Consider the following 25,981-nt stretch of genomic DNA (forward strand, 5'->3'; position numbering starts at 1 on the left):
AGTTTCACCACTGTTTGTATTCAGCCCTTGGATCTAAGTTCCGAGCTGCCTGTGGGCTGCCAGCTATTTTTTGCAGCCTAATTTTTCCAGTGATGGATGAATGTAAGACATCAATGTGTTTATTTTCTCATCAATATCTCCTGGAATTGCTTTCAGTTGCACTCATTTGCTGTATATAATTTCCTGGCAAAACTACTTACAGAATTTCTAAATTTGGTTTCTGTAAATCCATCTAAGTAAAATGGCCACCATCATGCCAAGCACTAAGGATTAAGCAATAAATAAAACAAAGCTCCTCAAGAAGTATTCATTCTAGAGGGAAATGACAGGTTAATAAATATGTAAAAATGTCATGTGGTGATAAGTGCTGTAAATAAAACCAAGTGACACAGAGTGTGTTTTACATTGAAGTCAGGGAAGACCTCTTTGAGAAGATGACATTTGATTCCAGAGAGCAGAATGTGTGAGGGAGTGAACCAAGCAGAGGTCTCAGGCAGAAGGAACAGTCAAGAGCAGGATTATGTTGTTGTTTTATTTATTGGAGCTTTCTTTTTTTTTTTTTTTTGGAGACAGAGGCTTACTCTGTTGCCCAGGCTGGAGTGCAGTGCCGCAATCTTGGCTCACTGCAAGCTCTGCCTCCTGGGTTCAAGCGATTCTCCAACCTCAGCCTCCTGAGTAGCTAGGACTACAGGTGCACGCCACCATGCCTGGCTAATTTTTTGTATTTTAGTAGAGACAGGGTTTCACCGTTGTTGCCCAGGCTGGTCTGTTGGAGCTTTGTTATAGTATACTTTACCATGATTCATTGAGAAGTTCTCTCCCACCCCACCTCGACCCCACTACCCCTGGCCAGTGTACTTTCAACTTGGTTGCCTCAAATTTTAATTTAAGGGTTGGGAGATAGGGTAGTGCTGCTAACATGAATCAGTTTTTTTTCCTTGGTGTCACTTCATTCAAATAACTGTGACACTGAGACTATTTTATTTTATTTTGCCTATTCTGCAGACATTGGGTTTGCCTATCACAGATGAACAAATCCAGGAGATGAAATCAAACCTGGAGAACATCGACTTCAAGATGGCAGCTGAGGAAGAGAAACGTTTACGACATGATGTGATGGCTCACGTGCACACATTTGGCCACTGCTGTCCAAAAGCTGCAGGCATTATTCACCTTGGTGCTACTTCTTGCTATGTTGGAGACAATACTGTAGGCGCCTGTGTTGTTTATACTTAAAACTCAGTCTCTAGAATCTATTTGTCAATTTTATTTGATGTTGTCCAGTTGAGGAAGTGACACTATAGATCTTTTTTTTTTTTTTGAGGCAGAGTCTCCCTCTGTCTCCCAGACTGGAGTGCAGTGGCACGGCTCACTGCAAGCTCCGCCTCCTGGGTTCACACCATTCTCCTGCCTCAGCCTCCCGAGTAGCTGGGATTACAGGTGCCCACCACCACACTCGGCTAATTTTTTTGTATTTTTTTAGTAGAGATGGGGTTTCACCATGTTAGCCAGGATGGTCTCTATCTCCTGACCTCGTGATCCACCCCCCTCAGCCTCCCAAAGTGTTGGGATTACAGGCGTGAGCCACCACGCCCAGCCAGATCTTTATTTTTAAAGGTATCTTGGTTGAAAACGCTGAGGAATTTTTTCAGCTTTTAGTGTGCTTCCAATCTAAACTGTAAGCACCAAATGACCTCTATAAAATAAGACCTACAGATCCTGCTTATGCATTGGTTTGCTGGATGTAAGCCAAGGCCTTAGCATTTTAATGGCTGAGGTAATTTTTCAAAGGAATTTTTTTTTTTTCTTTGAGATGGAGTCTTGCTCTGTCACCCAGGCGGGAGTGCAGTGGCATGATCTTGGCTCACTGCAACCTCTGCCTCCCAGGTTCAATTGATTCCTGTGTCTCGGCCTCCCCAGTAGCTGGGATTCCACGCGCCTGCCACCACGCCGCCTGGCTAATTTTTGTATTTTTAGTAGAGAGGGGTTTTGCCATGTTGGTCAGGCTGGTCTTGAACTCCTAGCCTCAGGTTATCTGCCCACCTTGGCCTCCCAAAGTGCTGAGAGTGCTGAGATTACAGGCATGAGCCACTGTGCCTGGCCTTCAAAGGACTTGTGAAATCCTTTGAAGACCTTTGAAGGACTCTGAAGTCCTTCAAAGACCCTGTCTCAAAAAAAATACTTTGAGACAGGGTCTCGCTTCTGTCACCTAGGCTGGAGTGCAGTGACACGAACATGGCTCACTGCAGCCTTGACCTTCTGGGCTCAAGTGATTCTCCCACCTCGGGCTCCTGAGTAGCTGGGACCACAGGCATGTGCCACTGCACCAGGCTAATTAAAAAAAAATTTTTTTTTTTTTTGGAGACAGAGTTTTGCTCTTGTTGCCCAGGCTGGAGTGCAATGGCGCAATCTCAGCTCACTGCAACCTCTGCCTCCCGAGTTCAAGCGATTCTCCTGCCTCAGCCTCCCTAGTAGCTGGGATTATAGGCGCCTGCCGCCACGCCCAGCTAATTTTTTTTATTTTTAGTAGAGACAGGGTTTCACTATGTTGGCCAGCCTGGTCTCGAACTCCTGACCTCAGACGATCTACCCTCCTCAGCCCCCCAAAGTGCTGGGATTACAGGCGTTAGCCACCACGCCTGGCAAATTTTTAAAATATTTATAGGGACAGTGTTTCACCATGCTGCCCAGAATGGCCTTGAACTCCTGTGTTCAAACAGTCCTCCTGCCTTAGCCTCCCAAAGTCCTGGGATTACAGGAGTGAGCCAGCGTACCTGGCCTAGCTTGTGCTCTTAATCAGAGTATACCCATGGAGGTTGAAGTTAGATTCCAGATAAACGTCCAATTTGAGAATAAGCCAGTAATTTTTAAGTTGCCTCAAATGCTTTCTTATTTTTTTGAGACGGAGTCTCGCTCTGTCTCCCAGGCTGGAGTCTCCTGCCTCAGCCTTCCAAGTAGCTAGGACTACAGGCGCCCGCCACCACACCCGGCTAATTTTTTGTATTTTTAGTAGAGACGGGGTTTCACTGTGTTAACCAGGATGGTCTCGATCTCCTGACCTCGTGATCCACCCACCTCGGCCTCCCAAAGTGCTGGGATTACAGGTGTGAGCCACTGCCCCTGGCCTCCAAATGCTTTCTTTAGTCTTAAATGAAACATAATTAAAGGCATCTTTGTGTAACTGGCGAGTCAGATAGTGGGAGAAGAACAGTCTTCTTACTTGGAAAATCCTTTAAAAAAGTACCCAGTTGTGTGGATGGGCTCAACAATTACCGTTTCATATCGACATGTGTTGGAGCTAACTGAAATATGTACATCTGGAGATTACCTTCCTCACGAGCAGCTTTATGTTTCCTAAACCTTGATATTCTGGGTCATTCCTTTCCTTGTTAGCAACTGTAGGCAAGAAAAATGGGGGAGGCTGGGCACGGTGGCTCACACCTGTAATCCCAGCACTTTGGGAGGCCGAGGTGGGCGGATCATGAGGTCAGGTGATTGAGACCATCCTGGCTAACACAGGTGAAACCCTGTCTCTACTAAAAATACAAAAAATTAGCTGGGCGTGGTGGCGGGTGCCTGTAGTCCCAGCTACTCAGGAGGCTGAGGCAGGAGAATGGCGTGAACCCGGGAGGTGGAGCTCGCAGTGAGCTGAGATCGCGCCACTGCACTACAGCCTGGGCGACAGAGCGAGACTCCCATCTTAAAAAGAAAAAAAAAGAAAACGGGAGGAAAGTAATGGAATGTGCCATATGGAAGCTTCTCAGAAGCTCAAGCCCTCCTCTCTGGGAAAATAGAAACCTTGTTGACTTGCACATTTTCCAGTCATTTTTTCTTAATTGAGAATTTTTTTAATATTGGAGAGACAGTCTTGCTGTGTTACACAGACTGATGTTGAACTCCTGGCCTAAGCAGTCCACCTGCTTCAGCCTCCCAAAATCCTGAGAATACAGGCATGCGCCACCATGCCCAACCTTCAGTCATCTTAGATACCATGTACCTTGGGCTTTATAAGTATAAAGGTTTTGTTCCTTACAGATCTCAGTAGTACTGTTAAGCTGGTGTGCTTTTCAAACAGTAATCAGGAAAGAACAACTTGTGTTAGTATTTTCTGGCGTGCTTAGTGGGTTGGTAGTGGTGATATAGGCTGGTAGCTGAGCAACCCAGCCTTTCTGGCCAAAAAGTGTTATGTAATAATATTGTTTGAGCAAAGCTGCTAAATATAAGATCATTGCATTTTCTTTCGTAGGACTTGATTATTCTTAGAAATGCACTTGACCTGCTTTTGCCAAAGGTAAGGAGTTGGCAGATGTTTCCTACCAACCCTAGATTCCCTATGTTAGGAGATAGGCACCAGTTACAACTAAATCAACACAGTGTAAATTTTTACATAGACTATCATTTTTTCAGGTGAATGACAACCCTATGTTTAATCTGTAGAACTAATTGTTTCTTCTTCTCCTTTCTTCTTCTCTTCCTCCTTCTCCTTTCTTCTTCTTCTTGAGCCAGAGTCTCATTCTGTCAAGGGGCGTGATCAAGGCTTATTGCAACCTCCGCCTCCCAGGCTCAGACAGCTCTCCTGTCTCAGTCTCCCAAGTAGGTGGGAGTACAGGTGCATGCCACCTCACCTGGCTAATTTTCTGTAGAAATGGTTTTTGCCATGTTGCCCAGGCTGGTCTCAAACTCCTGAGCTCAAGGGATCCACCCGTCTTGGCCTTTCAAAGTGTTGGGATTACAGGTGTGAGCCACCGCACCCAGCTGTCTCTTTAAAAGACTAAATGGTTTTTAAAGCATAGCCTTTTTTTTTTTTTTTTTTTTTTGAGATGGAGTCTCGCTCAGTTACCCAGGCTGGAGTGCAGTGGCACAGTCTCAGCTCACTGCAAGCTCCACCTCCCAGGTTCATGCCATTCTCCTGCCTCAGCCTCCCGAACAGCTGGGACTACTGGCACCCGCCACTACGCCCAGCTATTTTTTTTGTATTTTTAGTAGAGACGGGGTTTCACCGTGTTAGCCAGGATGATCTGGATCTTCTGACCTCGTGATCCGCCCGTCTTGGCCTCACAAAGTGCTGGGATTACAGGCATGAGCCACCGCGCCCGGCCCAAGCATAGGCTTTTAAACGAAGAGAGTGCAACCAAAGGCATGTTGCTGGGATATGTGGGTCAGGATTATGATTTTGTTCTGTTTTTCTGCCGTGGTCTTAAAATAGTTCATGACATTTTAGGTAGTCAACTCAGTTTTCAAATTTTGGTTACTGTGAACTCTTCCAGGCACTTTAGGGTACAAAGATGGAAGGATATGGCTGCTGCCTTTCATGAGTTAGCGGTCTAATTTTATACAAAATTATCTGAAAGTTTTGTTCCTAATTATGTAATGAACACAACCTGAATTCAACCTCTTTCTATCACATGATCTTTCTTGTAGCTTGCCAGAGTGATCTCTCGGCTTGCCGACTTTGCTAAGGAACGAGCCAGTCTACCCACATTAGGTTTCACACATTTCCAGTAAGTGATAAGATTACTTCTTGTTTATGTGCATATGGCTTTCAGCTGCTTCTTGAGTTCTCTGTTTTCCACAGTAACCTTGAGGTGAAGAATCTGAAAACATGATTTAAATATAAGTAATTTGGGATGCTTATAAGGAATGAGCCTGATATCCACTGAGAGAGTAAATCTAACAGTTCATTTGGGAAACATTGGGAAATACATATCAAGAGCCTTGAAAAATATTCTTTATGATAGTAAACATTAGAAACAATCTAAATGGGCCGGGTGTGGTGGCTCATGCCTGTAAACCCACCATTTTGGGAGGTCAAGGTGGGCAGATCCCTTGAGGTTAGGAGTTCACCACCAGCCTGGCCAATGTGGTGAAACGCTGTCTCTACTAAAAATACAAACATTAGCCAGATTTGGTAGCATGCCTGTAATCCCAGCTACTCAGGAGGCTGAGGCAGGAGAATCACTTGAACCCGGGACGCGGAGGTTGCAGTGAGCCAAGATCGCACCACTGCATTCCAGTTTGGGTGACAGAGCAAGACTCCGTCTCAAAAAAAAAAAAAAAGAAAAAAATCTAAATGTTCAATAATAAGAGAATAAGTAAGGCATAGTATTCATACATCCATAGGTTGGAATAACATGCAACCATTTAAATGATGCTTACAAGATCTAATGTGCAAATGCACTTAGGTTTGTGTTATGGTAACAAAGACAGTTTATAAATTGCACAAAAATTGGTTGAAAGTACACCATGATGTAAATGTTGATTACTCTGGTTTATGAGATAATAGGAAAATTAAATTTCTTTCTACTTTTTGAGTTTTGTTTTGTTTTTGGAGAGGGAGTCTTGCTCTGTTGCCCAGGCTGGAGTGCAGTGGTGTGATTTTGGCTCACTCTCACTACAACCTCTACGTCCTGGGTTCAAATGATTCTCCCGCCTCAGCCTTCCTAGTAGCTGGGACTACAGGCGCCTACCACCATGCCCGGCTAATTTTTTTATTGTTTGGAGAGATAGGGTTTCGCCATGTTAGCCAGGCTGGTCTCAAACTCCTGACCTCAAGTGATCTGCCCACTTGAGATCCGCCCACCTCGGCCTCCCAAAGTGCTGGGATTACAGGCGTGAGCCACCGCGCCCGGCCTAGACATTTCATATAAACAGAATCGCATACAATATGTGACCTTTTGTGTCTGGCTTCTGTTGCTGTTTTCAATATCCATGTTGAATCAGAACTTCGGTTCTTTTTATGACTGAAAAGCGTTCCATTGGTTGTACCATGTTTCATTTACCCAATTGTCAACAACTGATGGACATTTGGGTAATTTCTACTTTTTGGCTACTATGAATAATGCTGCCATGAACAAGTCCATGCTAATTTACTTCTTTCTTTGCTTACACCAATAATCTGTTAGCAGTTAACAAGGAAAACAGTAAGATTAATTTTGGGGATATACTATAGCTTGTGATGTGCCTCCTATGGACATTCCTAGTGTTACGCCTTGATGTTCCTAGCTGTCAGTGTCATTAGCCTAAGAGGAAAGAAATTCCATTTGGAATAGGTTAGGTTATCTATTAGAAATTAGGCTGGGTCCAGGTGCAGTGGCTCATGCCTGTAATCCCAGCACTTTGGGAGGCCAAGGTGGGTGGATCACCTGAGGTCAGGAGTTCAAGACCAGCCTGGCTCACATGGTGAAACCCTGTCTCTACTAAAAATACAAAAAAAAAAAAAAAAAAAATTAGCCGGACGCAGTGGCGCATGCCTATAGTCCCAGCTACTTGGGAGGCTGAGGCAGGAGAATTGTTTGAACCTGGGAGGCGGAGGTTGTAGTGAGCCAAGATTGCACCATTGCACTCCAGCCTAGGTGACAGAGCGAGACTCCACCTCAAAAAAAAAAAAGAAAAGAAAGAAAGAAATTAGGCTGGGCGGTTAGGCTGGGCAGCCGGGCGCAGTGGATCGTGCCTGTAATCTCAGCACTTTGGGAGGCCGAGGCAGGTGGATCACGAGGTCAGGAAATCAAGACCAGCTTGGCCAACATGGTGAAACTCCATGTGTGCTAAAAATAACACAAATAGCTGGGTGTGGTGGCAGATGCCTGTAATCCCAGCTACTCAGGAGGCTGAGGCAGGAGAATCACTTGAACCCCGGAGGCAGAGGTTGCAGTGAGCCAAGATCGCGCCGCTGCACTCCAGCCTGGGCGACAGAGTGAAATTCCGTCTCCAAAAAAAAAAAAAAAAGAAAGAAATTAGGCTGGTCATAGTGACTTATGGCTGTAATCTCGGCACTTTGCGGGGCCAAGGCAGGACGATAGCTTGAGGCATGGAGTTCGAGACCAGCCTGGGCAACATAGGGAGACCATGGCTCTTAAAAAAAATAAAGTTAGCCAGGTGTGGTGGCTTGTGCCTGTAGTTCCAGCCACTCAGGAGGCTGAGGCAGGAGGTTGGCTTGAGCCCAGGAGATTGAGGCTACAGTGAGCTGTGATTATACCAGCGTGTGCCAGCCTGGGGTGACAGAGTGAGACCCTGTCTCAAAAAAGAAAGAAATTGGACATTAGGGCAACTTATTCATAATTATATATTTTGTTTTTTTGTTTTGTTTTGAGACAGAGTCTCACTCTGTCACCTAGATTGGGGTACAGTGGTGTGATCTCAGCTCACTGCAGCCTCAGCTTCCCGGATTCAAGTGATTCTCCCACCTCAGCCTCCCAAGTACCTGGGATTACAGGTGTGCACCACCACACTTGGCCAGTTTTTGTATTTTTTGTAGAAACAGGGTTTTACCATGTTGGCCAGGCTGGTCTCAAACTCCTGGCTTCAAGTGATCCACCTGCCTCGGCCTCCCAAAGTGCTGGGATTACAAGCGTGAGACACCGCACCTGGCCTCGTAATTATGTTTTATGTTCAGAAACAGACCTTCAGTGGCTTGATTTGGGCTTTTTTTTTTTTTTTTTTTTTTTGACATGGAGTTTCGCTTTTGTCATCCAGGCTGGAGTGCAGTGGCACAATCTTGGCTCACCGCAGCCTCCGCCTCCTGGGTTCAAGTGATTCTCCTGCCTCAGCTTCCCGAGTAGCTAGGATTACAGGCATGCACCACCACGCCTGGCTAATTTTGTATTTTTAGTAGAGACGGGGTTTCTCTGTGTTGGTCAGGCTGGTCTCAAACTCCCGATCTCAGGTGATCCGCCCTCCTTGGCCTCCCAAAGTGCTGGAATTACAGGCATGAGCCATGGCACCCTACTTTGATTTAGGCTTAATGCTGGAAACAAAGCCATTAGCTGCTGTGTTTGAGTCCTCTGGTTATGTGTGTTGTGTAGCTGTTCTCCATAGCATGACTATTCCTCACTGGATCTTGACTCCTCACAAAGGCTTTCCTCTACTTCCAATCTAGAGCAGCCATCACCATTACCTTCATCGTTCTTTTATTCTTTTAGCACTTAAAATCTCAATAATTAATCTTGTTTCTTTTTTTTCATTTGTTTTTTTGAGACAGAATCTGGCTGTGTCGCCCAGTGCGGTGTCACAGTCTCGGCTCATTGCAACCTCTGCCTCTCAGGTTCGAGTGATTCTCCTGCCTCAGCCTCCCAAGTAGCTGGGATTACAAACACCCGCCACCACGCCCAGTTAATTTTTTGTATTTTTAGTAGAGACAGGGTTTTACCTGTCTCTGTTGGCCACGCTGGTCTCGAACTCCTGACCTCAAGTGATCCCCCCGTCTCAGCCTCCCAAAGTGCTGGGATTATAGGCATGAGCCACCGCGCCTGGCCTAATCTTGTTTTGTTTTCTTTTTTTACTCGTTTACAATGTAAGCAAGTGCCACTGGACAAGGACCCTGTCTGTGTTATTCCTTGTTGTATTTCCAATAGTAAGAGTACATCAGATACTTGGCAAATATTACACGAGTATCTAATGTATTTCTTACCAATGTCTGTGGATATAGCCATGAACAAAAGGGACATTGTCCCTGCCCTTATAATAAATTGTCTCTTGCCGTGCATCACAGTGGTTCATGCCTGTAATCCCAACACTTTGGAAGGCTGAAGTAGGTGGATCGCTTGAGACATAGAGTTTGAGACCAGCCTGAGCAACAAAGTGAGACCCCGTCACTACAAAAAATTTAAAAATTAGCCAGGCATGGTATTGCATGCCTGTGGTCCCAGCTACATGGAAGGCTGAGGCAGAAGGATCACTTGAGCTCCAGAGGTCGAGGCTACAGTCAGCTATGTTCATGCCACTGCACTTCAGCTTGGGCAACAGAGCAAGACCCAGTCTAGAAATAATAATAATTTAAAAATTGCCTCTTGATGAAGAAAGTACTATGCTAATCGCCTTTTAGTTTCATACTCCTTGACTATTTGTAAATGACATTGAATCTCCGTAACGATTATTTGGTTAAACATTTTATCTCTTGTTTTATCTTTACCAGTTACTCCCTCTCTTACTTAAATTGTTCTCCCTCCAAGGGGTAATGGTGGTTATTAAAAGAAGCAATGAAACCTTGATGATTTAAGGTCTCGGTCTGAGACTTTCGTGTGTTCTCTTTGGGTTTTCAGGCCTGCACAGCTGACCACAGTTGGGAAACGTTGCTGTCTTTGGATTCAGGATCTTTGCATGGATCTCCAGAACTTGAAGCGTGTCCGAGATGACCTGCGCTTCCGGGGAGTAAAGGGTACCACTGGCACTCAGGCCAGTTTCCTGCAGCTCTTTGAGGGAGATGACCATAAGGTATTCTGAAAGTGACCTGCAGGACACAGAAACTCAATGGTGGAGCCTAAGAGACAAGGCTGCCTTTGAGGATGATAGGAGAGATTGACTGTGGGATGGGTGGGGTCTTTCGACTAGAAGGAAGTTGTGGGGGTTAGGGAGCGAGACCTGGGTAGGATGACAGGTTGAGGCATTCTCACACTGGACACATGGATTATTATAAGGATGTGTCTTTTCTTTCCAAGGTAGAGCAGCTTGACAAGATGGTGACAGAAAAGGCAGGATTTAAGAGGTAGGTAAATGGGAATGTGTTGGCCTCCCTGTTAAGTTGATGGAAGTCCTATATTCAGTATACCTGCAGATTTGACCTTACAATTTTTGCCTTTTTCTTCCTTTGTTCTTCTACCCATTTTTTTTTTTCCTGTCTCTATCCTGGGTTTTACTTTCTTACTATCTGGATTCTTTTTTTTTTTTTTTTTTTTTCGCCTAATCGTCTTGCTGACATATTTTCTGGATTTCATTTTATTTTATTATTGTTTTTGAGACAGGGTCTTACTCTGTCACCCAGGCTGGAGTGCAGCGGTGTGATCTCGGCTCACGGCAGCCTCCGCCTCCCAGTTTCAAGCAGTCCTTCCACCTAAGCCCCCTGTGACTACAGGCATGCCTGGCTAATTTTTGTATTGTTTTTGTATAATTTTTGTATTGTTTTGTAGAGACCATGTTGCCCAGGCTGGTCTCCAACTCCTGAGATCAAGCGATCCACCTGCCTCAGCCTCAAAGTGCTAGGATTATAGGCATGAGCCACCATGCCTGACCTGCATTCTCTTTTTGTATAATCTATAGGAAAAAAGAAAATGATTTACTTCTGGTTTCTTTAGAATACCTTTATCCATGTTGTTACCATTTTTGTTTCTTTACTTAGGGCCCCCAACAGGTTAGGCTAAATCTGACCATTTCCATTGAGGTCCACCAGGTTCCACCATGGCTCCTTCTCCCAGGCATTTCTATTGGGCTGTGGCCAGACATGGGCACGTTGCACCATGTATCCTTCTTGAGTCAGGCCATTGTCCTGAGTATTAGTGAAAAGGGTGGAAGAATAGTTTATTCCAGGAGCAAGTTACCACTCAGGTCCACTGGTTGAGTATAACTTAGCATACCAATAAGACCAAGCTTTTCTTTAGGATGTGTTTTTCCTTGTTTGACAGAGTCATGTTTTGAATTATTATTATTTTATAAGAGTCTCCCAGTGATGCTTAGGCTGGCCTTAACCTCCTGAGTTAAAGCAGTCCTCCTCCGTTAGCCTCCTAAGTAGCTGGGACTACAGTCATGCACCACTGCAATGGCTTTAAAATATTTTAACCTAAGTCTCTCTTGTACTTATTCCTAGAGCTTTCATCATCACAGGGCAGACATATACACGAAAAGTGGATATTGAAGTACTGTCTGTGCTGGCTAGCTTGGGGGCATCAGTGCACAAGGTGAGTGGTGGCAGCATGTGGGGTGGGGACAGGAGCTTTGGGCACCACAGACAGACTGAATTAACCTCAGACTTTTACTTAACCATCTCTCTCAAGCAATATTTTACATTAGTTTTAATAATTTGTGGTCTGTAAATGAAACCCTTAAGGGGAAGACTCGTTTTGGCATTTTCTTTAAAGTTATCTCAAGCACTGCAAAACATCCATCTTGTTCAGTGGTATATTAAATTAATCTTTTTTTTTTTTCGAGATGGAGTTTCGCTCTTGTTGCCCAGGCTGGAGTGCAATGGTATGATCTCGGCTCACTGCAACCTCCACCTCCTGGGTTCGAGCGAGCCTCCCAAGTAGCTGGGATTACAGGCATGCACCACAATGTCTGGCTAATTTTAGTAGAGGCAGGGTTTCACCATGTTGGCCAGGCTGGTCTCGAACTCCTGACCTCAGGTGATCCACCCACCTCAGCCTCCCAAAATGCTGGGATTACAGGTGTGAGCCACCGCGCCCATCCTGAATTAATCTTGTGATTTTCTTTCCATGATGCCTTAAGCAGTGTTTCACAAAAGCGTTTTCATGCTCCTTGAATTTGTCATCCCAGTCCTTCGGGAACAGAGAGGAGTCGGAGTAAGATACTCTGCAGGAGCTCTTTGGGAGGATGCGCTGGTCTTCAGCTCAGCCACAGCACACCTAAGAGCTCATCTCCTTCATCAGCCTAGTCACAGCTCCCAGACTCTACTGCACACTGACAGTGTGGGGTGATGCTTATTCCCCTACCTCCCCCAGATTTGCACCGACATACGCCTCCTGGCAAACCTCAAGGAGATGGAGGAACCCTTTGAAAAACAGCAGATTGGTGAGTGCTGTGTAGAGACCTGTGAGCACACATTGCTGCTGGAAGGCTGTGGATGGGGGCTGAGAGCTCATTCAGCATGCTTGCCTACTCACTATCCTCTGAAGTCTCTCTGCCTTTGCATCTTGTCCTTTTTTTACATGGGCAGGCTCAAGTGCGATGCCATATAAGCGGAATCCCATGCGTTCAGAACGTTGCTGCAGTCTTGCCCGCCACCTGATGACCCTTGTCATGGACCCGCTACAGACAGCATCTGTCCAGTGGTTTGAACGCACACTGGATGATAGTGCCAACCGGTCAGTGGCACAGGGACATCACATACACCAAGTTGAGTGGAGGTCTGAAGGAGGGACCTAGAAGTAAAAGGACATATTTGAGCATCTCTACAGTCTCCTTATCCCCAAGGATCCCAGAGTCTAGCAGGGAGGCAAAAACATAAAAAGGACAGTGTGATAAGTGTTACAATTGGAGTGTGTACTGGGTACTGTGGAGCAAAGAGGAAGGAATAGTGTTTGAGGAGTCAGAAAGCTTCACAGTAGAGGTGATGCCTTAAGACTTAAGAAATACATGCATCTTTTAAAGACAAGATCGGGAGCATTATAAAGGCACAAAGCAGGAGAAAACACACTTGAGGGAGTTACTACTACTTGAGTAGCCCTGGGGAATGAAGTCAACATGTGCCAGGAGGTGGGGCAGGACATGGTCACAGATAGCCAGTTTATGAAAGGTCTTCTGGGTCTTTTCTGAAGGCAGATAGATGTCAGTTGTGGTGTCTAGGCACAATGACATCTTGATTAGTTATGAGATGAGTCAGAAATAATTTGTAACTACTGTTGAGGTGCCAACATGCGCATCATTTTCTGTTTTATGTATATACTCACTTAAAGCAGATTGGCATTACTCTCGCCTGCTCGCATTTTGCTGGAATTTCTTGAGTGGATACGGATGTATAGTTAAACCTAGCTTTCTGGGATCTGTGCATAATCCACGATTTATCTCTGGAAATAAGTCATGTGAACTCATTCAGAAGTCAGCCATTGAATACTTTTTAGCAAGGTGTGACCCTGTAGGTCTGCTGATTTGCCTGCTAAAAGACCCTAGCAACAGTTTGGAGAGTTGGCTGTAAGGAGACAGGGATCATGTCAGAACAAGTTAGGGGCTACTTTAAAAGTCTGAGGCCACATTGGTGCAGTGGCCATGTAAATGGAGAGGAAGGATATAGATCCAGAGTCGAAGGCAGACTGGCCAGCCCAGCCCTGGTGGTTGACCGGAGTGAGTATAAAGAGCTTGGTGAGTGGGGCGCTACTGCCATTTACTGAGGCAGGAGCTACAAGGGAGGAATGGCAGGTATGTAATGGTGAGTAGGAGGAATGAGAAAGTGGCTGAGTTCAGTTTGGGGATTGAGGTACCCATAGATCAACCAGGTGGACGTCTCACTCAGTAGGTATGAGGTCTGGCACTTGAGCAAGTGGTCTGGCCTAGAGGTGACAGATTTGAGGGTCGTGAGGTTATTGGGGTAATCATAAGATTGAAGGAGATTATCCAGAGAGTACAGTCAGTAGGGCAACTTGTTGGGACACACACTGCATTTCACTGAAATTATTTGTTTAAAGACATACTGAATGGCTATTTGTTTTCTAGACGGATCTGTTTGGCCGAGGCATTTCTTACCGCAGATACTATATTGAATACGCTGCAGAACATTTCTGAAGGATTGGTCGTGTACCCCAAAGTAAGAAGCCTCAATTCAAAAGTAAAGTACTAGGGAGGGGTTAGAATGTGGGAGGGAGGGTGCTCTGGGGTGTGTTGAGGGAGCTGTATTCTGATCCGATAGGCATTCTTCCCACCCGAGCTCATCCTTCAGTTCATAAGCTCTAGGGAACTAGCTCTGTGGAATTCATAGACACATTATAGAAACAGAAAAAGAAGTATTTTAAATTGCCTTAAACTATCTAGCAGCATGAATCATCAGCTCTGGTGTGACTAGGCAGAGTAGATGTCTCCATTTGCCTGTTTTTAAGTACTTGAGGCAGATGGGTTCATTTCTCTCCTATACTTAGCTCTTGAGGCTGAGCACTGATATGTAACAAATAGGGGTTTTAAGAATTCTTTCAGGCCAGGCGTGGTGGCTCACGCCTGTAATTCCAGCACTTTGGGAGGCCGAGGCGGGCAGATCACCTGAGGTCAGGAGTTCAAGACTAGCCTGGCCAACATGGTAAAACCCTGTCTCTACTAAAAATACAAAAATTAGCTGGGCGTGTTGGCGGGTGCCTGTAATCCGAGCTACTCGGGAGACTGAGGCAGGAAAATTGCTTGAACCCAGGAGGTGGAAGTTGCGGTGAGCCGAGATCGTGTCATTGTACTCCATCCTGGGCAACAAGAACGAAACTCCATCTCAAAAAAAAAAAAAAAACCTCTTCCTATGTGGCAACTTTTTTTAAGTTAATATTTCCTTTTTAAAAATCAAAAGTCTGACAGGGCGCGGTGGCTTACGCCTGTAATCCCAGCACTTTGGGATCACGAGGCCAGGAGATCAAGACCATCCTGGCTAACACAGTGAAACCCTGTCTCTACTAAAAATACAAAAATTATCTGGACGTGGTGGCGGGCGCCTGTAGTCCCAGCTACTCGGGAGGCTGAGGCAGGAGAATGGCGTGAGCCCAGGAGACGGAGCTTGCAGTGAGCTGAGATCACGCCACTGCACTCCAGCCTGGGCGACAGAGTGAGACTCTGTCTCAAAAAAAAAAGAAAAAAAAAATCCGAAGTCTGAGTTAGTAAGAAAACTGAAAAAACATCATATAGAATAAAACAACTTGTTACTCTCCATAATGTGGTAGTTAGTGTCTGTGCTGTGCATTTTGTTTGACATCCTGCTGTGTTTATGACTTTAACCTTGAGGCACCTTTCTTGGTCATTCACCGTATCTTTTCCTATAGGTAATTGAACGGCGCATTCGGCAAGAGCTGCCTTTCATGGCCACAGAGAACATCATCATGGCCATGGTCAAAGCTGGAGGTAGCCGCCAGGTTTGTAACCCCTCATGTTCCTGGATAAGTTGAGAGTGCACGTTTGGTCCTGCTCTCTTCTCCGTGAAGGAGAGCAGATGAAGGTGTTTATGTCATTACCTTCAGTCACAGTAATGGTACAGAGCAGTGGCCATAATCTGCCATCTATGGAGGGTGATTTTGGTGAACTGAATTTGTTAAAGTGAATTACTTAATCACTTGTAGGAAAAGTCCACTCCTAGTGAAGGAATGAGGTCTGACATTCTGTAGGAAATGAGCAGGAAACGAGCAAATGATTCATGAGGCTTTACAGAAGAGGGCCAGAGCAAGGTGGGCATCCATTTCAGGCTTGTCCTAAGATGTGGGCAGAGAGTTGAGAAGACCCTGGTACAGATAGACACAGGAACCACCTCAGCCTAGAGGGGTTTTGTGTAGAGCTGTGTAGACTGCATGGATGGGAAGTATCTGATGACTTTTTAAAAGTGTTCAAACGCCCTGTTAGTAGGGAACTGACAATACTTCACTGTCTTCCCAGGATTGCCATGAGAAAATCAGAGTGCTTTCTCAGCAGGCAGCTTCTGTGGTTAAGCAGGAAGGGGGTGACAATGACCTCATAGAGCGTATCCAGGTTGATGCCTACTTCAGTCCCATTCACTCCCAGTTGGATCATTTACTGGATCCTTCTTCTTTCACTGGTCGTGCCTCCCAGCAGGTAAGCTTCCAAGAAGCCTCTTTTCTGCTGGGCTGCAGAACCTGGGGTACTCTCTTTGATGTTTTTGCTTTATAGGAGGTATGGTGGGAATGGGCTAGTTAGAAGAAAATCAGAGCAGGTTGCTGGCTAAAACTTAGATATTTCGGTTTTGTTTCTGTTTTGTTTTGTTTTTTTGAGACAGAGTCTCTCATCCAGGCTGGAGTGCAGTGGTGCTGAGTGCAGTGGTGCTGGGATTATAGGCATGAGCCCCCACAACTGACCAAGATACCGCTGTTTTGAGCTGCCTTTATTTCTTTGTGTAGATTTTTTGGAATTATCTTTTGGTCTTGAGAATGTGGTATAATGGACAAAGAATTAGGTTTTATTGTCAGGTGGATCTGGGTTAAATCGTAACCTCTGGCATTTACTGGCTGAGAAGGTAAAAGTAAATATCTCAGTGTTGTAATGATTGAAATGCCTGAGTATATACTAGGTGCTCAGTATGTGTTCAGGTACTGTATTTAATTCTGGGGATTTTAAAATGAATAGATAGGCTGGGCGCAGTGGCTCACACCAGTAATCCTAGCATTTTGGGAGGCCGAGGCAGGAGGATTGCTTGAGCTCAGGAGTTCAAGAACATCCTGGGCAACATGGTGAAACCTTGTCTCTACAAAAAAATACAAAAATTAGCCAGGTGTGGTGGTGTGCGCCTGTAGTCTCTGCTACTCAGGGCTGAGGCGGGAGGATAGCTTGAGCCTAGGAGGTCAAGGCTGCAGTGAGCCATATTCATTCCCTTGCCCTCTGGCTTGGGTGACAAAATGAGATCCTGTCTTAAAAAAAATACAAAGATGAATAGATAATCCTCATCTTCAGAGAGCTCAAAACTTAGTGGTGAATACTTGTAAATAGGTCATTATGATACCAAGCAGTACGTGCAAGGACTGAGGGCTAAAAGACTAAAACTGGAGGTAGGAGACCAATAAGGAGGCTACTGCAACGGGCCAAGCAGTAGATGATGAGAGCTTGAGTGAAGGCAGTGGTGAGAGACACAGACCGGGGAGGGAGAGGAGGTTAAGCTCTTGGTGGCTACTTGAAGAGGGCTGGGAAGCAGGAGGAAAGAAGCTGTGGTGATTTTTAGGTTGGATGGAAATGGTGAAACCACCTGAGAGAACACAGGCTGGGCCAGTTTGCGGGAAAGGTTGGTGAGCATGTGGGCATGGTGGTTGAATCATCTGTGTCTAGGCAGAAATTCCTGATAGGCAGTTGAGGAAAACAAGCTCAGTGTTGGAGTAAAAGCTTCATCAAATTAGGTTTCAGTGGTATCCCCTGACATTGGAAAAGGTATTATCTGCTAATATCTTAACATTTTCTTTTGTCTTGTATTTGCTTTCCTCTGGCAGGTGCAGAGATTCTTAGAAGAGGAGGTGTATCCCCTGTTAAAACCATATGAAAGCGTGATGAAGGTGAAAGCAGAATTATGTCTGTAGAGTTGGAAGAGAATTAAACGAAAATCATTGTTAATTGCTGAGGCATGAAAATTGTGTTACTATAATGCCTTATTTTACCTCGAGAATTGTTACCTTAAATTAGTACAGCACTTTCTTCTTCCCATGGTGCTTTCCTGTTTCTCAGTCTCACATTTCTCAACAAGGCAAAAACAAAGAGCGTTGAAGTTGACTCTGCTCTTGCATAGTAAATGTAGTTCATACTTGATCTCTGTTCTTTCAAGGCATATTTTCCAGCTGCCTCAAGTTTAGTCCTTTTCACGTGTTCATTTGCTTGTAAAGTAGCAAGAAATTTCTGGTCCTGTCTTCTAAAAGTGAATTTGATCTAGGTCTAGCAAAATAACCTGGACTCAGTGATTGAGTCAATGGTCAGATACCTTTTATTTCGGTTATTTTTGGCTAGTATAAGTGATGAAGTTTGGAACTACAGTAAATACTTAAAAAAAAAAAAAAAAAGAACCAAACCCTGATGTGACCATCAGGCTGATTGAGCTGAAGTTGTGCCCAAGCTCATTTCATCTTTTGATAAGGCTTATACAGCAGGGAAATGCTAATTGAGTATATTGATTTCATCAGGGCCGCTGACAGTCTTTATTCCTTGTTGCATGGATTTTGTTGTTGAGGCTTGCTCTGTCACCCAGACTAGAGTGCAGTAGCACAATCTTGGCTCACTGCAACCTCCGCCTCTCAGGTTCAAGCGATTCTCCAGCCTCAGCCTCCCAAGTAGCTGGGATTACAGGCGCCTGCCGCCATGCCTGGCTAATTTTTGTATTTTTAGACGGGATGGAGTTTTGCCATGTTGGGCGGGCTGGTCTTGAACTCCTGACCTCAAGTGATCCGCCCATCTCAGCCTCCCAAAGTTCTGGGATTATAGACATGAGCCACCACACCCAGCCTAATCTTGTTTTCTTTTTTTACTTGTTTACAGTGTAAGCAAGTGCCATTGGACAAGAACGTTGTCTGTGTCATTCCTTGTTGTATTTCCAATAGCAAGAGCACATCAGATACTTGGCAACTAGGCAGTCTTCCAGCTTCTGCCACTGCGCCCGACTTCCTTGTTGCATGGATTTATAGCTGATTGAAGCAACTGTAGCCAAAGATTGAGTTAATTACCTACCTGCCAGGAGAGCACTAGTGTTATTTAGCCCATTCTCATCCTACATATTTTTCGGCATAGATGAAAATGAAAGCTTTTGTTTATCAGATTTGCAGATGACACAAAACTGGGAGAATTAACAAGTATGTTTATTTGGTAAAATAAGTTTTCATCTCTAACCTAAATCGGCTGAAATGATGTGTCCTAAACTAGAGGAAAAAGTTAATAAAGATCAATGTAAATAAGTTAATCTTAAACTCAGTATGCACCAGAACTGAGAGAAGACTGTTTTAGGAGGTGTTAATGGTTGTCCAGTGCCCAAAAAGCCACCAGAGGCTTACTGCTCCGCACTCTTGGCATTACATTCAATTTTGGATACCCAGTCTGAGGAATAGAGATGAACTGGAGAGCCAACCTCCAAAAAGATCTTGTGGTGGAGGAATGTTAGGGCTCTTTATCCTATACAGAAGAAAACTCCTCGGCACTTCAAATATTGCCAGGTGCAGGAAGAGTGACTTGATTGTGTGTTGCCCCAAGAGACACACTGAGCTCAATACCCATTACTGAGACTGGCTTGGGGCCAGACATTGGAACCACTGAGATTAGCAACCTACACTCAATCCCCCAGGTCAGGCAGAAGCTGGAAGACTGCCTCGTTAGGAATGTTGTGAGGGAGAGGAGGCTGAATCGGTTCCAGTTTTATTTAAAAGTAGCCAGGAAATCAGGTTGCGATGATGCGCATTTACAGTCCCAGCTACTTGGGAAGCTGAGGCGATAGGGTCACTTGAGCCCAAGAGTTTAGTCCAGGCTGGGTGACAGCGAGCCCTTGTCACTTAAAGCCAACCTAAGAGAAGAGCTTATCCTTTTGGAAAAACAATAGAAGACAATTCTGAAAACCAAATTCTGAACATAGGCTAGTATAGCAAGCAAGCAGGGATAGCATAGAGCCATTTGCTCAACTTCCAGAAAGAGTTACTCTGTTCATCTCTAAAAAATCTTGAAAAGGGCCGGGTGCGGTGGTGGCTCACGCCTGTAATCCCAACACTTTGGGAGGCCGAGGCAGGTGGATCACCTGAGGTCAGGAGTTCGAGACCAGCTTGACCGACAAGGTGAAACTCCGTCTCTACTAAAAATACAATCAACCGGGCGTGGTGGCAGGCGCCTATAGTCCCAGCTACTTGGGAGGCTGAGACAGGAGAATTGCTTGAACCTGGGAGGCAGAAGTTGCAGTGAGCCAAGATCATGCCACTGTACTCCAGCCTGGGCAACGGAGCGAGACTCCATCTGAAAAAACAAAACAGAAAAAATCTTGAAAGGATACTAAGTCTGACACAAGGAAATTAAGTCATGGGACTCTGACCAGATATTCTGTCTACTTCCTTCTCTGCTATGGGCAACTTGGAGGCAGCAACTACTATCAGTTTATCTGTAATGTGAGAATTTATATTACATAACAGATACTGGGGATATAGGATACCATGGATTTTAGTTAATACATTTCCTCATAGAAAATAAGGAAATAACAGTCTTGTTCCTGTCCTAACAATTCTGTTAGACTAATGATCTCCAGTGATTGGCGATTTGACCTGGTTTCTTCCTGGACTATTTGAATGGGTGGATTTGTTGGTGCATCTCTTGTCTTCTTTCCTTTTCCATTCTCCTTTATTTTTGTATTTACATACTTGTATGCAACTTTGTAATCTGATTTTCCCATGTAACATTTTAATTTGATGGGTGGTCTGCGTGTTCACTGGAAAACATATATATATTAAATGTACATTTATGTATATATATAAAATATACATTCATATATATTATATATAATATACATTCATATATATTATATATAATATACATTCATATATCTATCTTTTATATATATATATAGACAAGATCTTGCTCTGTCGCCCAAGCTGGAGTGCAGTGGCATGACCACAGTTCACTGCAGCCTTGATTTCCTGGGCTCAAGCGATCCTCTCACCTCAGCCTCTTGAGTAGCTGGGACTATGGCACACACAACCACACGTGGTTCATTTTTTGTTGTTTTTTGTAGAGACAGGGTCTCACTCTGTTAACCCAGGCTGTTGTATTTTCTTTAAGATTGGTTTAAATTCACACGGACTCCAGCATCAGAACTACCCAGATGTCAGGTTCTGGGCAGAACTTGGGGCAACTGATGAAATGTCTGCTCAGCTGAAGTCAGACACCTGGACACTTAATGCCCTCTTTCCCTGGCTGATGCTCAGTTTCATTTAAGAACCAGGAGAGCCTGATGTTTGTAAACACAGCTTTAGTGGAAGCACGAGGGTTAGGAGTCCCTAGAAAGGTGATATGAAGCCTAGGTGGATGTGAGGGTTGGTGAGATGGGAATTGCACAGCATAGAATCTGACACAGAAGGTACTCAGAAAATTTCGTTTTCCGGCCTGGCGCGGTGGCTCACGCCTGTAATCCCAGCACTTTGGGAGGCTGAAGCGGGCAGATCATCTGAGGTCAGGAGTTCGAGACCAGCCTGGCCAACATGGTGAAACCCCGTCTCTACTAAAAATACTGTACTAAAAATACAAAAAAATTAGCTGGGCGTGGTGGCGGGCGCCTGTAATCCCAGCTACTCGGGAGGCTGAGGCAGAGAACTGATTGAACCTGGGAGGTGGAGGTTGCAGTGAGCCGAGATCACGCCACTGCACTTCAGCCTGGGTGACAGAGCGAGACTCCATCTCAAAAAAAAAAAAAAAAAAAAATTAGCAAGTTATTTGCAGCGTCTATCTCCCACCACCCTGACTGCTGGTCCACACCATACTGTCCCAAGCTTCTCAGGCTGCGGTGCAGACGAAGAAATCATCGCTATGCATGCTGGCCTTGGGATGGGGGCGCAAAGCCCCTGGACGCGCCCCGCCTAGTGGGCGGGAACGACTACAGCCCCCAGCATGACCCGCGGCCGCCCATGCCACGCCCCGCCACGCGTGCGCTTAGGCGCCGCTGAGCGCTGACTGGGTGCGAGTGGGGAAGCTGCTAACCCGACCCGGATTGGCGCTGAGGTGGCCCGTGGGGCAGGTGAGTGCGGGGCGGGAGTCAGCGGAGACCCACCGGCGCCTACAAGTTCCCCTCAGGCGGGGGCTGCGGGGCGGCTGTGGTCGGACTGTCCGACCGAGGGTCGTATGGGCCGAAGGCGCCCACGAGAGAAGCACCGCCTCGGGCCGGAGAGCCGCCGGGCCGACCTTGCTCGCGTCGCCGTTGGAATGGGGGCCGGGGACGCGGCGGGGCGGGGAGGTCGGCTGCGTCCTCCGGTGCGGCCGCCCCTAGACGGCCGAGGCCACCTCAGGTGTTCGGGGCGCCAGCCGGAATCCACCGCGCTGGCAGCCGGGAGCGGTTTTACGAAAACCGCGCCTGAGGCGGGGGGCTTTCTAAAAAGAGCCTGGCTGGCTCTGGCACCGGGACAGCTGCAGACTCCTCCTCAGGTTTAACTTGCGGTTTTCCCTTTAAGATTCAGATCCAGGTGCAGAACCCGGGCTCGGATCCAGGCCCGAGACTCGGAACACCGGTGTGTTTGCATTTTAGCACGGGGGAAACTGAGGCATACGTTAGCCAGAATCATCCGGTGTGGTTAGGACTGGAATTTTGAAAATTATTCTCATACTTAGTTTACTGACCTAGGCTCTTTTTTATTTGGAAAGAAAAATAAAGATGTTTCAAAGGTTGTTTTCAGTGACTGGGTGACTAGTGTATCTTCCAGTCTCACGCTGCACGTTTGTGGTGGGTTGATGGCTCTTTTTTGTTTTGCGGTGGGATAGAGATGTCCTGGAATGTTCTACACCTTTCTTATTCTTTCTTAGTAAATTCAAGTCAAATCAGACTCTGATTCACAAAAACTCATTTTCAACTTCGACTCGTTTACTCGTAGTTTTTGTGACAGGTTTGTGATTAGGTTTATAGGTACATATGTTTCCCGCTTTTCTTGCTCTTTTAGTTCCAATTATCTCTGCACTCTAAACAGTTGAATTACATCTTTGTTTTTACACTATTTCTGTTCTTGGTGATTAATTTGTAATTCTTCTTTTCTTTTCTTTTCTATTTTTTTTTTAAGACGGGAGTTTCGCTCTTGCCCGGGCTGGAGTGCAATGACATGATCTCGGCTCACTGCAAGCTCCGCCTCCCGGATTCAAGTGATTCTCCTGCCTCAGCCTACCGAGTAGCTGGGATTACAGGCGCCCGCCACCACGCCCGGCTAATTTGTGTATTTTTAATAGAGACGGGGTTTTTCGCCATGTTGGCCAGGCTGGTCTCGAACTCCTGACCACAGGTGATCCGCCCGTCTCGGGCCTCCCAAAGTGCTGGGATTACAGGCGTGAGCCACTGCGCCAGGCCCGATTAATTTGTAATTCTATAGATATCTTTCCTGGCTTTTGATAATCCTAAGTGAATGTAGCTTTTTCATCCCTAATTATCATAGTAGCCTGAGCTTTAGTTCTTCTCCCTGTCCCCCCCCCCTTTTTTTTTTTTTTTTTTTTTTGAGACGGAGTCTCGCTCTGTTGCCCAGGCTGGAGTGCAGTGGCGCGATCTCGGCTCACTGCAAGCTCTGCCTCCCGGGTTCACGCCATTCTCCTGCCTCAGCCTCCCGAGTAGCTGGGACTATAGGTGCCCGCCACCACACCCGGATAATTTTTTGTATTTTTAGTAGAGACGGGGTTTCACCGTGTTAGCCAGATGGTCTCGATCTCCTGACCTCGTGATCTGCCCGCCTCGGCCTCCCAAAGTGCTGGGATTACAGGCGTGAGCCACCGTGCCTGGCCCTCCCTGTCCCTTTTTAAGCGTGGAGGTGTGTGGTCTGGGAGGGGAGAGGGTGAGGTGTCTATTGATCAGATATGGGTAATAGGTTAACATAACCCATGACCAGAACATTAAAAGGCTGTAAACAAACAATTGCTTCAATATAAAAACGCATACCTCGTGAATTTGGAAACATGTCAGGTTGATAGAAAAGTGAACTCGGGTAGAACCTCACAGAAATGAACCCGACATTAGGGTGAAATATTGAGAAGGGAAGGGAGGAGATAATCATCTCTTTTATTTTACAGCCATCTTTCTATGCCTGGAGTGGATGTAGGAACAGCCTGCTGGCTCAGAAGCTTAAAAAAAGCTCTGTGTGTTTTCAGTTTTTCTCTTCTTAGTTCTCAATGAAGGTTTTGGCAGGAGCCCAAAATCTTGTACATTTGATAATTTAACATCAGTTTCATCTGCTTACTCTCCAGATAGCCTGTTATTCAGCTGGTGACGTCAGTAATTTTCCACAGCAGCCATTCATGAGCTCATGCAGACTGTCACAAGGAAATGGGAATAGCACAATGAGTGTTACAGAAGAAAAAAAGATCCTGTTTCTTTGCCATCACATATTATACACAGACTTAGGGAATCTAGACTGGAGCACAAGATATGTGGGAGGGGTTAGAACACCACTCCTACCTGTAGTAATAATCATTGAAACCACTTATTGGATGCCTTCTGCTTACCAGACACTAGTTGTCACAGGTCACTGTAAGTGACAGGGCCAGAATTTAAGTCTACCTGACTCTAAACTCTGCTCTTTTGTCTGTGCTGTACTACCTTATCAACAACTGTGTTCAAGTCTTTCTCATTCTTAAAAATATATGAAACTTTCCTGTGATCATATTTCCCTTCAAATTACTACCATTTCTCCTGCTTTTCCTTTCTAGACTTGTCCTTAAGAAGCAGACTCTACATTCTTCTCTTCCATTTACTCCTTCATTCATTGCAGTCTGACTTCTACCCTCAACTCTGTTGAAACTACTCTCATGAATTCCTCTCAACGATTTATTGAATATCTACTGTGTATATCATCTTCTAGACTTATAAAGACGGCTAAGACATGGATCTTGCCCTCAGGTAGTTTAGAGATTAATGAGAGAGGGTAGTTTATACATGTCAATGTATGTTTCCCACTGATAGGGCAGTTGTGTTTTTTGTTTTTGTTTTTGTTTTTTTGAGACATAGTCTCACTCTGTCACCAGGCTAGAGTGCAGTGGGGCAATCTCGGCTCACTGCAATCTCTGCCTCCCGAGTTCAAGCAGTTCTCCTGCCTCAGCCTCCCGAGTAGCTGAGACTGCAGGCGTGCACCACCACACCCAGCTAATTTTTGTATTTTTAGTAGAGACGAGGTTTCACCATGTTGGCCAGGATGGTCTCCATCTCTTGACCTCGTGATCCGCCCTCCTAGGCCTTCCAAAGTGCTGGGATTACAGGCGTGAGCCACCACACCTGGCCTGATAGGGTGGTTTATTTATTTTTATTTTTATTTATTTTATTTATTTATTTTTGAGACGGAGTCTCCCTCTGTCGCCCAGGCTTGAGTGCAGTGGCGTGATCTCGGCTCACTGCAAGCTCTGCCTCCCGGGTTTATTTACGCCATTCTCCTGCCTCAGCCTCCTGAGTAGCTGGGACTACAGGCGCCTGCCACCATGCCCGGCTAATTTTTTGTATTTTTTTTAGTAGAGACGGGGCTTCACCGTGTTAGCCAGAATGGTCTTGATCTGACCTCGTGATCCGCCTGCCTCGGCCTCCCAAAGTGCTGGGATTACAGGTGTGAGCCACCGTGCCCAGCCAATAGGGCGGTTTTTATAGTTTGAGAGTTGGGGAAGGAACACTTTATTGTGAAGATGTCACTGGACTGCCACCAGAGAGAAAGCTTAAATTGGTCTAGACTGTAGTGTCAAGACTGCGTGCTTAGGTATATACTTTTAGGGAAAAGCTGTATCCACTGAGAGATGACATGGTTGAAAGATACAGTATAGGCTTTAGAGTCTGACAGATCTGGTAACTGAGCTACAATTTCTTCTTTGTAATACTTGCCTGCAATGTAAGCTCTATGAAAGTAGGGGCTTTGTGTTGTTCACCACCTCACCCCCATCTCCTAGAACAGTGGTAGGTGAGCAATAAATATCTGTTGAATGGGGCCCAGTACGGCGGCTCACGCCTGTAATCCCAGCACTTTGGGAGGCCAAGGTAGAGGATTGCTTGAGCCCAGGAGTTCAAGACTGGTCTGGGCAACATGGCGAAATGCCATCTCGACCAAAAACATAAAATTGCCAGTCATGGTGATGTGCGCCTGTGGTCCCAGCTACTCGGGAGGCTGAGGCAGGAGGATTGCTTGGGCTCAGC

General features: G+C 45.6%; 2 protein-coding genes across 28 annotated transcripts in view, besides 3 other annotated features; both read left to right on the forward strand.

The window, feature by feature from the left end:
- Nucleotides 1-25,981, forward strand: part of ADSL (adenylosuccinate lyase) — a 41,028-nt gene that overhangs the window by 2,327 nt on the left and 12,720 nt on the right. For 2 of the 10 annotated variants that reach the window (NM_000026.4, NM_001317923.2), the window contains exons 2-13: nt 1,006-1,209; nt 4,247-4,291; nt 5,422-5,501; nt 10,038-10,209; nt 10,434-10,480; nt 11,576-11,666; nt 12,447-12,516; nt 12,662-12,809; nt 14,155-14,245; nt 15,450-15,539; nt 16,054-16,230; nt 17,610-20,541. In NM_000026.4, coding sequence (NP_000017.1) covers nt 1,006-1,209; nt 4,247-4,291; nt 5,422-5,501; nt 10,038-10,209; nt 10,434-10,480; nt 11,576-11,666; nt 12,447-12,516; nt 12,662-12,809; nt 14,155-14,245; nt 15,450-15,539; nt 16,054-16,230; nt 17,610-17,696 — 1,302 coding nt within the window. In that variant the 3' untranslated portion in view covers nt 17,697-20,541. Of the gene's footprint in view, nt 1-1,005; nt 1,210-4,246; nt 4,292-5,421; nt 5,502-10,037; nt 10,210-10,433; nt 10,481-11,575; nt 11,667-12,446; nt 12,517-12,661; nt 12,841-14,154; nt 14,246-15,449; nt 15,540-16,053; nt 16,231-17,609; nt 20,542-25,981 lie in introns of those variants that run through there. The other 8 variants (NM_001410812.1, NR_134256.2, NM_001363840.3 and 5 more) reach the window with 8 other exon arrangements.
- Nucleotides 21,454-21,663: an enhancer, noted in NCBI's record as "active region_19084". NCBI's record gives its function as "activates an Ori minimal core promoter by ATAC-STARR-seq in GM12878 lymphoblastoid cells {active_cell/tissue: GM12878}" and the evidence as "EXISTENCE:reporter gene assay evidence [ECO:0000049][PMID:35858748]".
- The window catches only part of SGSM3 (small G protein signaling modulator 3), a 39,696-nt gene continuing 35,482 nt past the window's right edge, over nt 21,768-25,981 (forward strand). For all 18 annotated transcript variants that reach the window (NR_146412.2, NR_146414.2, NR_146415.2 and 15 more), the window contains exon 1: nt 21,768-21,862. The gene's annotated coding sequence lies outside the window, so the exon portion shown is untranslated. The remainder of the gene's footprint in view (nt 21,863-25,981) is intronic.
- Nucleotides 21,814-21,923: a silencer, noted in NCBI's record as "silent region_13769". NCBI's record gives its function as "represses an Ori minimal core promoter by ATAC-STARR-seq in GM12878 lymphoblastoid cells {active_cell/tissue: GM12878}" and the evidence as "EXISTENCE:reporter gene assay evidence [ECO:0000049][PMID:35858748]".
- Nucleotides 21,984-22,153: a silencer, noted in NCBI's record as "silent region_13770". NCBI's record gives its function as "represses an Ori minimal core promoter by ATAC-STARR-seq in GM12878 lymphoblastoid cells {active_cell/tissue: GM12878}" and the evidence as "EXISTENCE:reporter gene assay evidence [ECO:0000049][PMID:35858748]".

Source organism: Homo sapiens, chromosome 22 (assembly GCF_000001405.40).
Source record: "Homo sapiens chromosome 22, GRCh38.p14 Primary Assembly".
In the NCBI taxonomy this organism is placed as follows: Eukaryota; Metazoa; Chordata; class Mammalia; order Primates; family Hominidae; genus Homo; species Homo sapiens.